At 35.5% G+C, this 17300-nt stretch overlaps 1 long non-coding RNA gene across 9 annotated transcripts in view; it reads left to right on the top strand.

The window, feature by feature from the left end:
* LOC105377871 (uncharacterized) overlaps positions 1 to 17300 on the top strand; it is a 105003-nt gene that overhangs the window by 41180 nt on the left and 46523 nt on the right. For all 9 annotated transcript variants that reach the window (XR_007059658.1, XR_007059659.1, XR_007059660.1 and 6 more), the window contains one exon: positions 13952 to 14031. This is a non-coding gene — a long non-coding RNA (uncharacterized LOC105377871). The remainder of the gene's footprint in view (positions 1 to 13951; positions 14032 to 17300) is intronic.

Below are 17300 nucleotides of genomic sequence, written 5' to 3'. Positions count from 1 at the left end.
TCTCTGGGACACATTCAAAGCACTGTGTAGAGGGAAATTTATAGCACTAAATGCCCACAAGAGAAAGCAGGAAAGATCCAAAATTGACACCCTAACATCACAATTAAAAGAACTAGAAAAGCAAGAGCAAACACATTCAAAAGCTAGCAGAAGGCAAGAAATAACTAAAATCAGAGCAGAACTGAAGGAAATAGAGACACAAAAAACCCTTCAAAAAATTAACTAATCCAGGAGCTGTTTTTTTGAAAACATCAACAAAATTCATAGACCACTAGCAAGACTAATAAAGAAGAGAAGAGAGAAGAATCAAATAGATGCAATAAAAAATGATAAAGGGGATATCACCTCTGATCCCACAGAAATATAAACTACCATCAGAGAATACTACAAACACCTCTACGCAAATAAACTAGAAAATCTAGAAGAAATAGATAAATTCCTTGACACATAAACCCTCCCAAGACTAAACCAGGAAGAAGTTGAATCTCTGAATAGACCAATAACAGGCTTTGAAATTGTGGCAATAATCAATAGCTTACCAACCAAAAAAAGTCCAGGACCAGATGGATTCACAGCTGAATTCTACCAGAGGTACAAGGAGGAGCTGGTACCATTCCTTCTGAAACTATTCCAATCAATAGAAAAAGAGGGAATCCTCCCGAACTCATTTTATGAGGCAAGCGTCATCCTGATACCAAAGCCTGGCAGAGACACAGCCAAAAAAGAGAATTTTAGACCAATATCCTTGATGAACACTGATGCAAAAATCCTCAATAAAATACTGGCAAACCGAATCCAGCAGCACATCAAAAAGCGTATCCACTATGACCAAGTCAGCTTCATACCTGGGATGCAAGGCTGGTTCAACATATGCAAATCAATAAATGTAATCCAGCATAGAAACAGAACCAAAGACAAAAACCACATGATTATCTCAATAGATGCAGAAAAGGCCTTTGACAAAATTCAACAACCCTTCATGCTAAAAACTCTCAATAAATTAGGTATTGATGGGATGTATCTCAAAATAATAAGAGCTATCTATGACAAACCCACAGCCAATATCATACTGAATGGGCAAAAACTGGAAGCATTCCCTTTGAAAACTGGCACAAGACAGGGATGCCCTCTCTCACCACTCCTATTCAACATAGTGTTGGAAGTTCTGGCCAGGGCAATCTGGCAGGAGAAGGAAGTAAAGGGTATTCAATTAGGAAAAGTGGAGATCAAATTGTCGCTGTTTGCAGATGACATGATTGTATATCTAGAAAACCCCATTGTCTCAGCCCAAAATCTCCTTAAGCTGATAAGCAACTTCAGCAAAGTCTCAGGATACAAAATCACAAGCATTCTTATACACCAATAACAGGCAAACAGAGAGCCAAATCATGAGTGAACTACCACACACAATTGCTTCAAAGAGAATAAAATACCTAGGAATCCAACTTACAAGGGATGTGAAGGACCTCTTCAAGGAGAACTACAAACCACTGCTCAATGAAATAAAAGAGGATACAAACAAATGGAAGAACATTCCATGCTCATGGGTAGGAAGAATCAATATCATGAAAATCGCCATACTGCCCAAGGTAATTTACAGATTCAATGCCATCCCCATCAAGCTACCAATGACTTTCTTCACAGAATTGGAAAAAACGACTTTAAAGTTCATATGGAACCAAAATAGAGCCCACATCGCCAAGTCAATCCTAAGCCAAAAGATCAAAGCTGGAGGCATCACGCTACCTGACTTCAAACTATACTACAAGGCTACAGTAACCAAAACAGCATGATACTGGTACCAAAACAGAGATATAGATCAATGGAACAGAACAGAACCCTCAGAAATAATGCCGCATGTCTACAACCATCTGATCTTTGACAAACCTGACAAAAACAAGAAATGGGGATAGGATTCCCTATTTAATAAATGGTGCCGGGAAAACTGGCTAGCCATATGTAGAAAGCTGAAACTGGATCCCTTCCTTACACCTTATACAAAAATTAATTCAAGATGGATTAAAGACTTACATGTTAGACCTAAAACCATAAAAACCCTAGAAGAAAACCTAGGCAATACCATTCAGGACATAGGCATGGGCAAGGACTTCATGTCTAAAACACCAAAAGCAATGGCAACAAAAGCCACAGTTGACAAATGGGATCTAATTAAACTAAAGAGCTTCTGCACAGCAAAAGAAACTACCATCAGAGTGAACAGGCAACCTACAAAATGGGAGAAAATTTTCGCAACCTACTCATCTGACAAAGGGCTAATATCCAGAATCTACAACAAACTCAAACAAATTTACAAGAAAAAAAACAAACAACCCCATCAACAAGTGGGTGAAGGATGTGAACAGACACTTCTCAAAAGAAGACATTTATGCAGCCAAAAAAACACATGAGAAAATGCTCATCATCACTGGCCATCAGAGAAATGCAAATCAAAACCACAATGAGATAGCATCTCACACCAGTTAGAATGGCGATCATTAAAAAGTCAGGAAACAACAGGTACTGGAGAGGATGTGGAGAAATAGGAACACTTTTACACTGTTGGTGAAACTGTAAACTAGTTCAACCATTGTGGAAGTGAGTGTGGCGATTCCTCAGGGATCTAGAACTAGAAATACCATTTGACCCAGCCATCCCATTACTGGGTATATACCCAAAGGATTATAAATCATGCTGCTATAAAGACACATGCACACATGTGTTTATAGCGACACTATTCACAGTAGCAAAGACTTGGAACCAACCCAAATGTCCAACAACGATAGACTGGATTAAGAAAACGTGGCACATATACACCATGGAATACTATGCAGCCATAAAAAGTGATGAGTTCATGTCCTTTGTAGGGACATGGATGAAACTGGAAACCATCATTCTCAGCAAACTATCGCAAGGACAAAAAACCAAACACTGCATGTTCTCACTCATAGGTGGGAATTGAACAATGAGAACACATGGACCCAGGAAGGGGAACATCACACTCCGGGGACTGTTGTGGGGTTGGGGTAGGGGGGAGGAATAGCATTAGGAGATATACCTAATGCTAAATGACGAGTTAATGGGTGCAGCACACCAACATGGCACATGTATACATGTGTAACAAACCTGCATGTTGTGCACATGTACCCTAAAACTTAAAGTATAATAATAATAAAATAAAATAAAATAAAATAAGAGAGTTGTATATTTCATCTAGATATTCAAGTTTGTTTTCATAGAAGTGTAAAAAGTAGTCTTTTCTTTTAGTACCTATTCCATTGTCATTTAGTATTTCACATGTTATTTAGTATTTCATATGTTTGTGCTCCCCATTTTTGTTTTCTTAAGATATCTAGCATTTGTTGCTTTGGTTAATTTTTTTAAATTAAGCAGCTTTTGGATGAATTGCATTCTTGTTTTTCAGCTTATTAATTTCTGTTTTCATGTCAAACATTCTTTCCTTCTGTGTTCTTTCAGTTTGAGTAGAAAATATAGTTATTTCATTTTCATTTTACTGAAAAATTATTTAATGCTGTATGTGTGTCTATGGACACTGCTTTAAACTTGTTTCTTAAATTCTGATATCATATTTTTGTTACTTTATTTTTTATAAATTGTGAATTTTTGTTATGTGTTTCTCCAGTGATCCAAGTGTTGGACAGTTTAAGAGTTCTTAATCTCCAGGCAAAAGGGCCTTTGATTATTATTATTTTTTGCTTTTTATTTTAAAAGTTAATTTTAATTTATCTTATTTTGGTCAAAGTATACCTTTTATATTATATATAGTATTATTCAGATTTTGTCTCTGTGTGTGTATTACCTAATATATGGACACTTATAAATATGGTGCATTTTATTTGTTGAGGCTCAGAATTTGATACATGTTAGAACATTTACCTTACTGATCAGACCATTTTGGGATAGTGTAATCTTGTTTCTCTGGTTTGTCTTGGATTGAGAGAGATGCATTAAAAGTTATTTTTCTAGCATACTTTGACCAATCTATTTATTTTTAACCTTTCTGTGCCTCTTTTAGAAATAACTTTTGTATACATCATAAATTTGGATTTTGCTTTTTAGCCAATCTGATAATCTCCATGTTTTACCGGATGGATTAAGTCTATTTACATTTATTGATATTACTTCTAATGTTTAATGTCATATTTTTGTGCTGTATATATGTATATATATTTTATAGGTACATTTATTAATTCATATATATGTGTGTGTTTACTTTTATAATGTGGTCTTTTGCTCTTTATGATATGTCATCTGTTATTTAGCAGGGCTTCTATTTTTGTTAAAATATTTACTTTCAAAATTAATCTCTTTAATTAAACAAATTAGATATCATCTTATGGTTCTCTTCTATAAGCTATAATGAGTTTAGTTGATCACCTTTTCTTTTCCATTCTCTCATTCTCCCATGGTGTTTAATTCAAAGTGACATCCTTTACTCCCAACTACAATATTTAAGGTAATCAGTGAGCTTATTCTACATTGTTAATTGCATTATATCTAAATAATAAGAACATATGACATTTATAGATTTTTAAAAATAACCTTTACCCTTATTATCAGTTTTACACACATGTGCTTAATGCTCACCACTACACCTCATGTCAATTCTTCTGTAATACCTTGGTTTCTTGAGGAATTTTTCTCTTAGGGAAATACGTTGTTAAATTTTCCTCAGATATAGAATGTTGCTGTTGAAAGGTGTAATATCTGTCTAATCTTTAATCCTTCTAAAGACTGGATGCAAAAGGATCCTGGCCCTCCCACTGCAAATCTGTTAGTTTGACTATTGATCATTCTGAGTTTTTGTCCTCATATGTAATATATTCCTTTTCAATAAGTAAGATTGATTTCTTCTCCCACCCACCTTTTATAAATAATGTTTCTATTAAATATGCATTTTTTAAATTAAAGTTTTATGAATTATGGATTTTAATATTTGTTCTACTCCATTGGTTTGACTTTTCATTTTTAGTATTCCCCCTTACACACTCACTGGAAATTTCATTTTCTTTTTCAAATTTTATTTTAGAATCAGGGCATACATGTGCATGTTTGTTACATGAGTATGTTGCATGATGCTGAGGTTTGGGACATGACCAAACCCATAACCCAGATAGTGAGCGTAGTACCCAATAGGTAGTTTTTCAGCTCCCCTCTCCTCTCTCTCCCCCAATATAAGTCCGCAGTGTCTATTGATCCCATCTTTTTGTCCATGTACCCAATGTTTAGCACCCACTTATAAGTGAGAATATGTATTTTTTTCCTTTTCCTATGTTAATTCACTTAAAATAATTGGCCTCCACCTGCTTCCATGTTGCTGCAAAAGGTATAATTTTATTATTTTTATGGCTACATAGTATTCCCTGGTGTATATGTACCACATTTTTTTTATCCAATTCATAATTGATGGGAACCTAGGTTAATTCCATGGTTTTGCTTTTCTGAATAGTGCTGCAGTGAACATACATGTGTCCTTTTGGTAGAATGATTTATTTTCCTTTGGATATATACCTAGCAATGGGATTGCTGGGTCAAATGGTAATTCAACTCTTGGTTCTATGAGAAATCTCCAAACTGCTCTCCATTGTGGCTGAACTAATCTACGTTGCCACCCACAGTGTATAATTGTCCCCTTTTCTTTGCAGACTTGCCAGCATGTATTATGTTTTGACTTCTTAATGAAAGCCATTCTGACTGGTATGAGATGGTATCTTATTGTGATTTTGATTTGCATTTCTCTGATGATTAGCGATAATGAGCATTTTTGTGTGTGTGTTTATGGGCAGGTTGTATGTCTTCTTTTTTTGTTGTTGTTGTTTTTTAGATGGAGTTTTGCTCTTGTTGCCCAGGCTGGAGTGCAGTGGCGCAATCTCGGCTCACTGCAACCTCCATCTCCTGGGTTCAAGCGATTCTCCTGCCTCAGCCTCTCAACTAGCTAGGACTACAGGCATGCGCCACCATCCCTGGCTAATTTTTTTTTTTTTTTTTTTTTTTTTTTGTATTTTTAGTAGAGACGGGGTTACTCCATGTTGGTCAGGCTGATCTCAAACTCCCGACCTCTGGTGATCCACCTGCCTTGGCCTCCCAAAGTGCTGGGATTACAGATGTGAGCCACTGCACCCAGCCATATGTCTTCTTTTGAGAAGTGTTCGTTCATGTCTCTTACTCACTTTTTAATGAGATTCTTTGCTTTTTGCTTCTTGATATGTTCAAGTTCCTTACAGATACTAAATATTAGACCTTTGTCAGATGCATAGTTTGTGAATATTTTCTGCCATTCTATAGGTTGTTCATTTATTTCCTTGATACTTCTCTTGCTGTGCAGAAATTAATTAGTTACCACTTGTCAATTTTTGTTTTATTGCAATTACTCTGTAAGACTTAGCAATAAATTATTTTTCCAAGGCTAATATTAAGAAGGATACTTCCTCAGATTACTTCTAGAATTTTTATAGTTTGATGTCTTACATTTAAGTCTTTAATCCATCTTGAGTTAATTTTTGTATATGGTGATAGAGAGGTGTATTAGTCCATTCTCATTCTTCTAGTAAAGTCATACCTGAGACTGGGTAGTTTATAAAGAAAAGAGGTTTAATTGACTCACAGTTCAGCATGGCTGAGGAAGCCTCAGAACACTTATAATCATGGTGGAAGGGGAAGCCAACATGTCTTTCTTCACATGGCAGCAGAGAGAAGAATGAAAGCCAAGTAAAGGGGGAAGTACCTTATAAAACAATCACATCTCATGAGAACTTACTTACTATCATGAAACTTGTTGCAGGAAACTGCCCCCACGATTCAATTATCTCCACCTTGTCCCTCCCATGCCATGTGGGGATTATGGGAACTACAATTCAAGATGAGATTTGGGTGGGGACACAGTCAAGCCAAACCATATAATTCCACCCATGACCACTCCCACATCTCATGTCTTCACAATTCAAAACACAATCGTGACCTTCCAACAGTCCCCAAGGTCTTAACGCTTTTCAGCATTAACTCAAAAGTCCAAGTCCAAAGTCTCATCTGAAACAAGGCAAGTCCCTTCCATCTATGAGCCTGTAAAATCAAAACAAGCCTGTTACTTCCTAGATACAATGGAGATACAAGTATTGAGTAAATACACCTGTTCCAAATGGGAGAAATTGGCAAAAACAAAGGGGATACAGGCCCCATGCAAGTCCAAAATCAAATAGAGTCGTCATTAAACATTAAAGTTCCAAAATGATCTCCTTTGACTCTATGTCTCAAATCCAGGACATGCTGATGCAAGAGGTGGGCTCCCATGACATTGGGAAGCTCCACTCCTGTGGCTTCGCAGGGTACAGCCCCCTCATGATTGCTTTCACAGGCTGGAGTTGAGTGTCTGTGGCTTTTCCAGGTGCCCAGTGCAAGCTGTTTGTGGAGCTACCGGTCTGGCATCTGGAGGATGGTAGCCCTCTTCTCACAGCTCCACTAGGTAGTGCCCCAGGGGGACTCTGTGTGGGAGCTCCAACCCCATATTTCCCTTTCACACTGTCCTAGCAGAGGTTCTTCCTGAGGGCCCTGCTCCTGTAGCAAACTTCTGCCTGGACATCCAGGCATTTCTATACATCCTCTAAAACCTAGGCAGAGGTTCCCAAACCTGAATTTTTGACTTCTGTGCACCTGCAGACCCAAAACCATGTATAAGCCACCAAGGCTTAGGGTCTGCATACTCTGAAGGAATGGCCTGAACTGTACTTTGGCTCCTTTTAGCCAAGGCTGAAGCTGAAGCAGCTGGGACACAGGGCAGCATGTCCTGAGGCTGCATAGAGCAGGTGGTCCCTGGATATGGCCCATAAAACCGTTTTTCCTTCCTAGGCCTCTGGACTTGTGATGGCAGGGGCTGCCATGAAGGTCTCTGACATGCCCTGGAGACATTTTCTCCATTGTCTTGGTGATTAACATTTGGCTTCTCATTATTTATGTTAATTTCTGCAGCTAGCTTGAACTTCTCCTCAGAAAATGGGTTTTTCTTTTCTATTGCATTATCAGGCTGTAAATTTTCCAAACTTTTATGCTGCGCTTCTTCTTGAATGCTTTGCCATGTAGAAATTTTTTCCACCACATACCCTAAATCATCTCTTTCAAGTTCAACATTCCACAGATCTCTAGGGTAGGGGCAAAATGCCACCAGTCTCTTTGCATAGCAAGAGAGACCTTTACTCCATTTCCCAAAAAGTTGCCCATCTCTGTCTGAGACCACCTCAGCCTGGACTTCACGGTCCATATCACTATTAGCATTTTGGTCAAAGCCATTCAACAGTCTCTAGGAGGTTCCAAACTTTCCCATATCTTCTTGTCTTCTTCTGAGCCCTCCAAACTGTTCCAACGTCTGCCTGTTACCCAGTTCCAAAGTTGCTTCCACATTTTCAGGTATTCTTACAGCAATTCCCCACTCTACTGGTACCAATATACTGTATTAGTCTGTTCCCATGCTGCTAATGAAGCCGTACCTGAGACTGGGTAATTTATAAAGGAAAGTGGTTTAATTGACTCACAGTTCAGCATGGATGAGCTTACAATTATGGTGGAAGGGGAAGCCAACATGTTCTTCACATGGCAGCAGGAAGAAGAAGAATGAGAGCTGAGCGAAGGGGGAAGCCCCTCATAAAACCATCAGATTTCGTGAGAACTTATGAACACAAGAACAGGATAGGGGAAACTGCCCCCATGATTCAATTATCTCCACCTGGTCCCTCCCATGACATTTGAGGATTATTGGAACTACAATTCAAAATGAGATTTGGGTGGGGACACAGCCAAACCATATCAAGAGAGGTCCAGTTTCATTCTTCTGTATATGGATAGCCAGTTATCCCAGCACCATTTATTGAATAGGGATTCCTTTCTCCATAGTGTGTTTGTCAAGTTTGTTGAAGATCTGATGGTTGTAGGTGTATGGTTTTATTTCTGGGTTCTCTATTCTGTTCTATTAGTCTATGTGTCTGTTTTTGTACCAATACCATGCTGTTTTGCTTACAATAGATCTGTACTATATTTAAAAGTCAGGTAATGTGATAATTCAAGCTTTGTTCTTTTTCTTAAGATTGCTTTGGCTTTTTGGCTCTGTTTTGGTTCCCAGTGAATTTTAGAATAGTTTTTCTGACTTCTGTAAAAAATGACATTTCTAGCTTGATAAGAATGGCATTGAATTTGTAAATTACTTTGGGCAGTATGGCCATTTTAAGGATATTGATTCTTCCAATCTATGAATATAGATTATTTTTCCATTTACTTATGTCATCTTTGATTTCTTTCAGCAGTATCAAAAAGTTAAGAAGATCTCAAATTAACAGTCTCACACTGCACCTAGAGGAACTAGAATAAAAAGAACCAACCAACTCCAAAGCTAGCAAAAGAAAAGTAATATCTAAAATTAGAGAAGAATTGAACATAACTGAGTGCAAAAATTCATGCAAAAGATCAATGAAACAAAAAGTTTGTTCTTCAAAAGAATAAGCAAAATTGATAGACCACCAGTTAGGTTAACAAAGATAAAAACAAGAACCAAATGAGCACAATCAGAAAAGACAAAGATGATATTACAACGAATCTTACAGAAATATAAAAGATCCTCAGAGACTATTATGAACACTTTCAGGCACACAAATTAGAAAATCTAGAGGAAATGGATAAATTCCTAGAAACACAGAACTTCCCAAGATTGAATCAGGAAGGAAGTAAAACCCTGAATAGACCAATAACGAGTTCTGAAATGGAATCAGTAATAAAAATCCTACCCACCAGGCTGTGTGTGGTGGCTCACGCCTGTAATCCTAGCAGTTTGAGAGGCAGAGGCAGGGGGATCACTTAAGCCCAGCAGTTTGAGACCAGCCTCAGCAACATAACAAGATTCTGTCTCAAAACAAAAACCAAAAAACAAGGAAAAAACTACCAACCAAAATATATCCTGGACCACCTGGATTCACAGCTGAATTATACCAGATGTACAAGGAAGAACTGGTACCAATTCTGCTGAAACTATTCCAAAAAATTGAGGAGGAGGGACATCTCTCTAACTCATTCTACAAAGCCAGCATTATTCTGATACCAAAATATAGCAGAGAAACAATGAAAAAAGAAAATTTCAGGCCAATATCCTTGATGAATATAGGCACAAAAATCCTCAAGGAAATACTAGAAAACCAAGTCCAGCAGCACATCAAAAAGTTAATTCACCATGACCAATGGTGCGTTGATCATACAGTGCAAGGATGGTTCAACATACACAAATCAATAAATGTTATTTGCCATATAAACAGAATTAAAAACAAAAAAAGATCATCTCCAAATAAACACAGAAAAAGCTTTTGATAAAATTCGACACCATTTCATGATTAAAAACCCTCACCAGACTAGGAATTGAAGAAACATATCTCAACATAATAAAAGGGATGTATATTAAACCACAGCCAACATCATACTGAACAGACAAAAGCTGGAACTATTCTCCTTGATAACTCAAACAAGATAAGAATGTCCACTCTCACCACTCTTTTTCAACATAGTACTAGAATTCCTAGCTAGAGCAATTAGGCAAAACAAAGAAATAAAAATCATCCAAATTGGAAAAGAAGTTGGCAAAATATCTCTCTTTACTGATTATATGATTCTATACCATAAAGTCTACAATAGAATTCTCCTATAACTGTTAAATGACTTCAATAAAGTTTCAGGATAAAAAAAAGTATGAAAATCAATAGCATTTCTATATACCAATATAATTGAGCCAAATTAAGAACACAATTCTTTAAACTAGCCATAAAAAAATGAAATATCTAGGAATACATCTAACCAAAGAGGTGAATGATCTCTATAAGAAGAACTATATTGGCTATTGTTTTGCATGGCCTCTATATTTATCATTTTTTGAGTTTTTAAAGTGTATGTGTTTTTTAGTATCTTAGTCTCCACTGTCTTATTTTTCTTTCCTTTACTTTTCTAGTAACTTGTGTGTTCTTCCTAGGTGTGTCTTTATTTCTGAAATGATTTATTTTCTTTCGATTTTCAGTTTTCTCATAAAATCCTTATTCTAGTCATGCTATTTTTGGCCGTTCTGATTTATGTTTTTACTTGTGAGTTTCTACTTTTTTATTTTTTACTTGTTCTGTACTCTGAAGTTGTATTTTTAATCTGGCTGTGGACATATTTACCTAGTGTCTTCCTTGTGTGTTGTGTATTACTTCATATATTTAAATATTTTTTCTCTGCAATACATATGTATATAGTTTATTTATACTTTCCAGTTGCTTATATGTGGGTTTTTTATTTTGTACTTTTAGGAAGAGTTTTTTTTTGCATGAGGGGTAATATGTGCCTGTAGAGCTTTCCTAGATTTATGGCAAAGTTTTCCAGCTTAGTCAGTACTGTGAAGTCTTCAAATATATAAGAGTTTTATCCGAACTGCATGCAGAAGTGGCATAGCTACAATGACCTAAATTTTACTTTGAATGCACATCGTTTAGGATAATAATAATTACAGTTCTGGAATTCACATTTTGTGAGTAATTTTGTGTACCTACACTTCAGCTATTTCTTCACAAATGTGAAATAGCCGTTATGTGAAATATTTATAAAAAAAAGAAACCTGCCACTAAAATCAAATAAAAGTTCTCTTAGGTACTCAGTCCATTGATATTTAAAGAAAAAAAGATAAAATCTATTTTTTATTGAGAAAATGGGAAATTTTAATTAATCTAATTCTCTATCACTTTCATAATGTTAACAGATTATGGTACTAATGTGAGGACACATTTGATGTAGCACAGCTAACAGGCCTGTGGATGCAATTTCTCAGAACTATTTTTTGAAGTAAGAACCTGAGATGTTTGATCTTGTTCTTGTGAATTTTGGGCTTTCTAGCAAATCTCTAGTCATTAGTGAGCTATCAACACATTCCAGCAATGAGTTTCAAGTGTCATTTTTCTCACGGGTACCAATGATTTCAACATTAATATTAATTAACCCAAATATTATTCTTAATTTTTGTAGAAAATCTGTTACAGACCAACTTAACATTCATACATCAAGTGCTAGTTTATCTTTCCTTTAAATGAAAAATGTACTTTTATGAATAGTTGTTTTCTAATAATGAAAACATAGTCATTGTCATCATTTTTGTTGTTGAGGATTTAAGATTTCATTTGAATTAGAAAAAATTAGAGTTGAAAGGAGACTTAAGTATTGTCATATAAATCTAACTTCTTTGAAACTAATAATTGTAGTGCTGACAAGTGAATTTAAATATGAATATTTGATGTTAGCATGGTTACCTCCTATGTCTGGGGCAATAATACAGTGAGATTCACACTAATTAAATATTCCATTTCCAAAGGAACAATATGTTATGCTAGGCAAATACTAAAAGACCCTTCCCAATTTATTATAACCTAATGATATGAATAATTTTAAAGATTTTTTAAAGCATTGATTCTAAATAACCAGCAGTTTTCTTCACATTTTTCTCCTGGCTAATTTTATATTCATTTTAGGAATTAAGAATTATGGTGTTTAGAGAAATACTGCTTGAAGTTTAAATCTTTCTATAAAGAATTGTACAGAAGACCATTTATTATAGTAGAAACCATTCACTATAGTAGAATCTTGACATTAATTACTAAAAATTTATTCAGTAAAAGCAGAAATTGAACATGACATAGATTGTTCCAGTGGCTGCATAATGAACCACCATAAAATGTAATATATTAAAATAACAACTAATTTGTCTCATGCTTACGTGGGTTGCCTGGGCTGAGATGGGTGGTTCTTTCTTAAAGTCTCATGAGGTTGCAGGCAGATGTCAACCAGATCTGCAATCATCTGAAGAATTGACTGGGCTGGACATACAAGATGGCCAACTCTGATAACTGAGAAGTAATGCTAATTGTCACTTGAAGCATCTAAACATAGACTCTTCATGTTGCTTGGGATTCTCACAAGACAGAAGCTGAGTTGAGAAAGTATCCCCAAAATGTGACCATTTTAATAGGCCTATCTTGTATTTCAATTATTAATACACATCTTAATTTCATGTGAGATTAGGGTTATTAAAGGAAATGAATCTTAATGAAGAGAGAAAAGTCAAAAAAATTGAAGATAGATATGTATGGGTGGTTGTCCATATAAATAGTAAAATTATCTAGAAAAATGGCAGAAACTGGGATTGAAAGAAGATAGTGAGCCAGTTGAAGATTCACAGATATTTTAAACTTTAAAATAATTTTACTATTTACTTCTAAACAAAACAAATCTAACACACTTCTAAATACATAGTAGTTTTTGGTTTTGTTTTTTTTTTGTTGTTGTTATTGTTGTTGTTGTTGTTGTTTTGTTTTTTGAGACAGTATCTCACTCTGTTGCCCAGGCTGGAGTGCACTGGCATGATCTCGGCTCACCACAACCTCCACCTCCAGGTTCAAGCGATTCTCCTGCCTCAGCCTCCTGAGTAGCTGGGACTACAGGTGCGCCCCACCATGCCCAGCTAATTTTTGTATTTTTAGTAGCGATGGGGTTTCACTATGTTGGCCAGGCTGGTATCGAACTCCTGACCTCGTGATTCACCTGCCTTGGCCTCCCAAAGTGCTGGCATTACAGGCATGAGCCACCGCACCCGGCCTAAACACATAGTTTTTTTGTTTGTTTGTTTTTTGTTTTTACCTTTTTTTTTTCTAAACACATAGTTTTAACCTATCTTCCAATCTCCTTCTTTTCTTAAAACTTGCTTTGTGGCCTCAGCAAGACATCAAGACCATTGATCACGTTTTTTATTTTTATTCAGTTATACTCTCACATGTCTTTTCCAAACCAGCTTAGACTTCATGAACCAGTACTTCAATGGTTTCTTGACAGGATCTTTAACTTCCTTATAATCATTTTCTGCATCAAAGTAACCATCTGCTTTTCCCTTTAGGAAGAAAGTCACACAACCACATATTTTCTGAACATAAGCTGAACTTCTACTTCCATGGAGTGAGTTACTTCACCTCATTGGTAAGCTTTCTCATTCTCTCTACAGGAATTATTTCAACTATTTGCAACATTAACAACCTAATCTTTCAATGCATATTTTACAACTTTCAGAAAAATATCTGACCCCTTTCAATAAATGAAAAAAAAAACAGACCATCCTTCCTCCTTCAATGTTACATCACTATGTCTATAATCATCTGTAATCATCTTTCTTGTGTTTCAGGTTAAGATGAAAATCTTGTTCTAGTCAATGAAAATCCTTCCATCTAGAGCCAAACCTCTCCCTTCTGTAAGGCCTAGATCTTTCTTTCCATGTTTTTGATTGAATTGATCTTTTCTTGTTGACTAAAATACTTTATTATTTCTCAAAAATTCTATCATTATATCATTTTCTACATTCTCTTCCTGGACTCCATATAAAATAAAACTTTACATTAAATAACCATCCTCCTGCATGTAACTCTATAATCTCTGTGTCCCGAGTCCTTCTTCTTACTTCCAACTCATGTATGAATGCTTTTTGGGCATTTATACTTTGATCCTATTGGCACCTCAAGCTTGAAATATCCTAAGTCTAATCATCTTAATTTCCTACCTTCTTTACAAATGTACTCATTATTTTTATTCTTCCTTCCTAGTGGTTAAAATTATCCTCTAACTAGTGGCTTAGGTTAGAAATCTTGGAATCATTCTAGATTCTTTAATGTTGCCACCCACCCACACCAAACCAATCAATAATGAAATCCTAATACTTCTGCTTATTTAGTATATTTCAGATTTGTCCCCTACTTTCCAAACACACTGCTTCTTTTTGGTCTCCATCTTTAGTCATGATCTGAAATTTCCTTTTTTTTTTTTTTTTTTTCTGTCTCCATCCTTGTTTGCCTTTGGTCTACCTATCACATGATTGTTGAAGGCTCTTAAGGGCCAATCTGGTGGCATCTCCATTGCCCATAGGTTGGAATCTAAGCTACTTGACATTTCATAGAAGGTCTTTCTTTCCCCTTTCCAGATGATCTTTCACAGTCGCCTTTCAACAATTTGTACTCTGACCCAATAAAATTACTAGACTGCTAAACGTCTTTTAAAAGATTTTTCTCTGCTCTCATCTCTGTGATTTGAATGACTTTATTTATCCGCTATTATATCCCAGTGAAAAGTTACTATTAAGACTTAGCTCAAAGCCTACATCCCTCAGGGGTTTTCTGTTATTTTCTCTGCCTTCCTGTTCTATTCTTTGGTTATACTAATAAATCTGCTCATGTTCTACCAAAACAAGAGTTTCTTAAGTGTAGAATTTTTTTTATTTGTCTAGTACTGAGACTGATATAATATATAATTATTGATTAAAGGATCCTCACGTGTCCTGGAAGAACTTGTTTCAAAAATTTAGTTGTTTGAATAAAGTAGAAGAAAAAGCGGTATTCTGACTCAATATTCATTTCCTATTCCTTTGCTCCTTGAAGGGTTCCTGGATCATTGAGCTGGTAGATAAACATTATGCCCTTTGAAGAACAAGTGATAATTTTAGTGGGATTTTTGTCAGAGTCAATTGGGATGGTTTAAATGGAAAGGGATTTTGAAAATCAATTTCAAATCAATTTCTAAACTATGAAACAGCAAGTATTCGTTCTTCTTGTCTTCTTCCTTGAACTTGCATAGTACAAAGGCCAGTCACTTAGGAACAAAATACATGAATTTAGATATTCTAAATACTTGATTGTATTGATTTGTCCCTCAGAGTATCTTCTGTAAGTTGATCACCAGAGCACCAATTTCTATAGTGAGATAAAAATAGCTTTGTTATGAAGAATCTTTCATCGAAATAGAAATAAACTTTAATGATACAGATTTTAACATCTGTCTGTAAAAGAAAAACACACTTATCTTTAGCAGAAAACACAGCCTGTTTGCATTATCAAAACCACTGAGAGCTACCGTTGGATAGATAGCCTACATGTGATTATGTGGTCACTAAAAATGTACCTTCAATCATGGAGATGATTTCGATTGCCGGTTGACAGATATACATTGTAGTGATGTCATTTAACTCTTTTTTTCCAACCATGTGTATGTAAGTCAGAATGTGTTTTCCTCCCTCTGGGAATCAATACCCCCATTCAAAAAAAAATAAATAAATATATAATTAATTAAATACAGTCATGCACTTCATGATGACATTTCAGGCAACAATGGACTGCATAAAAGATGGCGGTCCCATAAAATAATACTATACTTTTACTGTACATTTTATATGGCTGGATATGTTTAGATGCACGAATACCTACTATTGTGTTAAAACTGCCTACAGTGTTCAGTACAGTAACATGTTCCACAAGAGCAATAGGCTATACCATATAGTCTAGGTGTGTAGTAGGCTATATCATCTAGGTTTGTGTAAGTATACCCTGATGTTTGTATAATGATGAAATCACCTAATGACACATTTTTCATAATGTATCCCCATTGTTAAGTGGCACATGACTGTAAACGAATAAACAAATCACTGAGAAAAATGAAAATTATGTAATGCTTTTCCCCTGCTTCTTTCCATTGTCTCCTTTCCCTCTTACTCCTACTGTTACTACTACTGCTAATTTTCTTCTTGTCCTTCTCATCAAACACTATTAAATAAAGTCATAGAATATGTAGAAACAAACAGCCTTTATTATTTAAATAAATACCACACTTTTACCCTCAAATTATGTAGATGCAATCCAGGAGTCAGCATGCTTAATAATAGATTTTTAACACTGTAGATTTTTGTCTTTATTATTTGTCAAGCTCCTATTTTTCTCATTTGACATAATTTCTGTTTCTCTTTTGGGTAACAACACAAAGAAATGAACTATTTATCACAATTTTTTTCAGATGTTTTATCTTTGCTTTTTTCCAAAGCTCAACACATTTCTATTTCAGAATAACATACTATTATTGGGGTTTTCTTAGATAGTATTGGTCTTATAAATTGAATTATAAAAATCAGACCTCTTTTAGATACCTGTTTAAACCATTTCAGTGGCACTGAGAGAGTAACATAAATCACAAGTGTCACTACTAAGGAATGGTACAGAGAATTACAATAATCTGCCTAGGCCTATTGGTTTAGTGAAGCCAGATATGTTCCTCTAGGAGGTACAGAGTAGGACAAGAGAAGACCTTCTAGGGGAAAGGAAGAAAAGAGGTAGTAAATTAAGCCAAAGTATATAGAAGAAAGTCAAACATGCTGGTCACTTGGGCAGCTCTCTTGTTTTTCTTTCTAGATCTTTCTTTCATAGTCTATTTTATGC

This window comes from Homo sapiens, chromosome 6 (genome assembly GCF_000001405.40).
Source record: "Homo sapiens chromosome 6, GRCh38.p14 Primary Assembly".
NCBI lineage: Eukaryota > Metazoa > Chordata > Mammalia > Primates > Hominidae > Homo > Homo sapiens.
The sequence above is the reverse complement of the archived record's forward strand: the minus strand, read 5'-3'. Positions and strand labels throughout refer to the sequence as shown.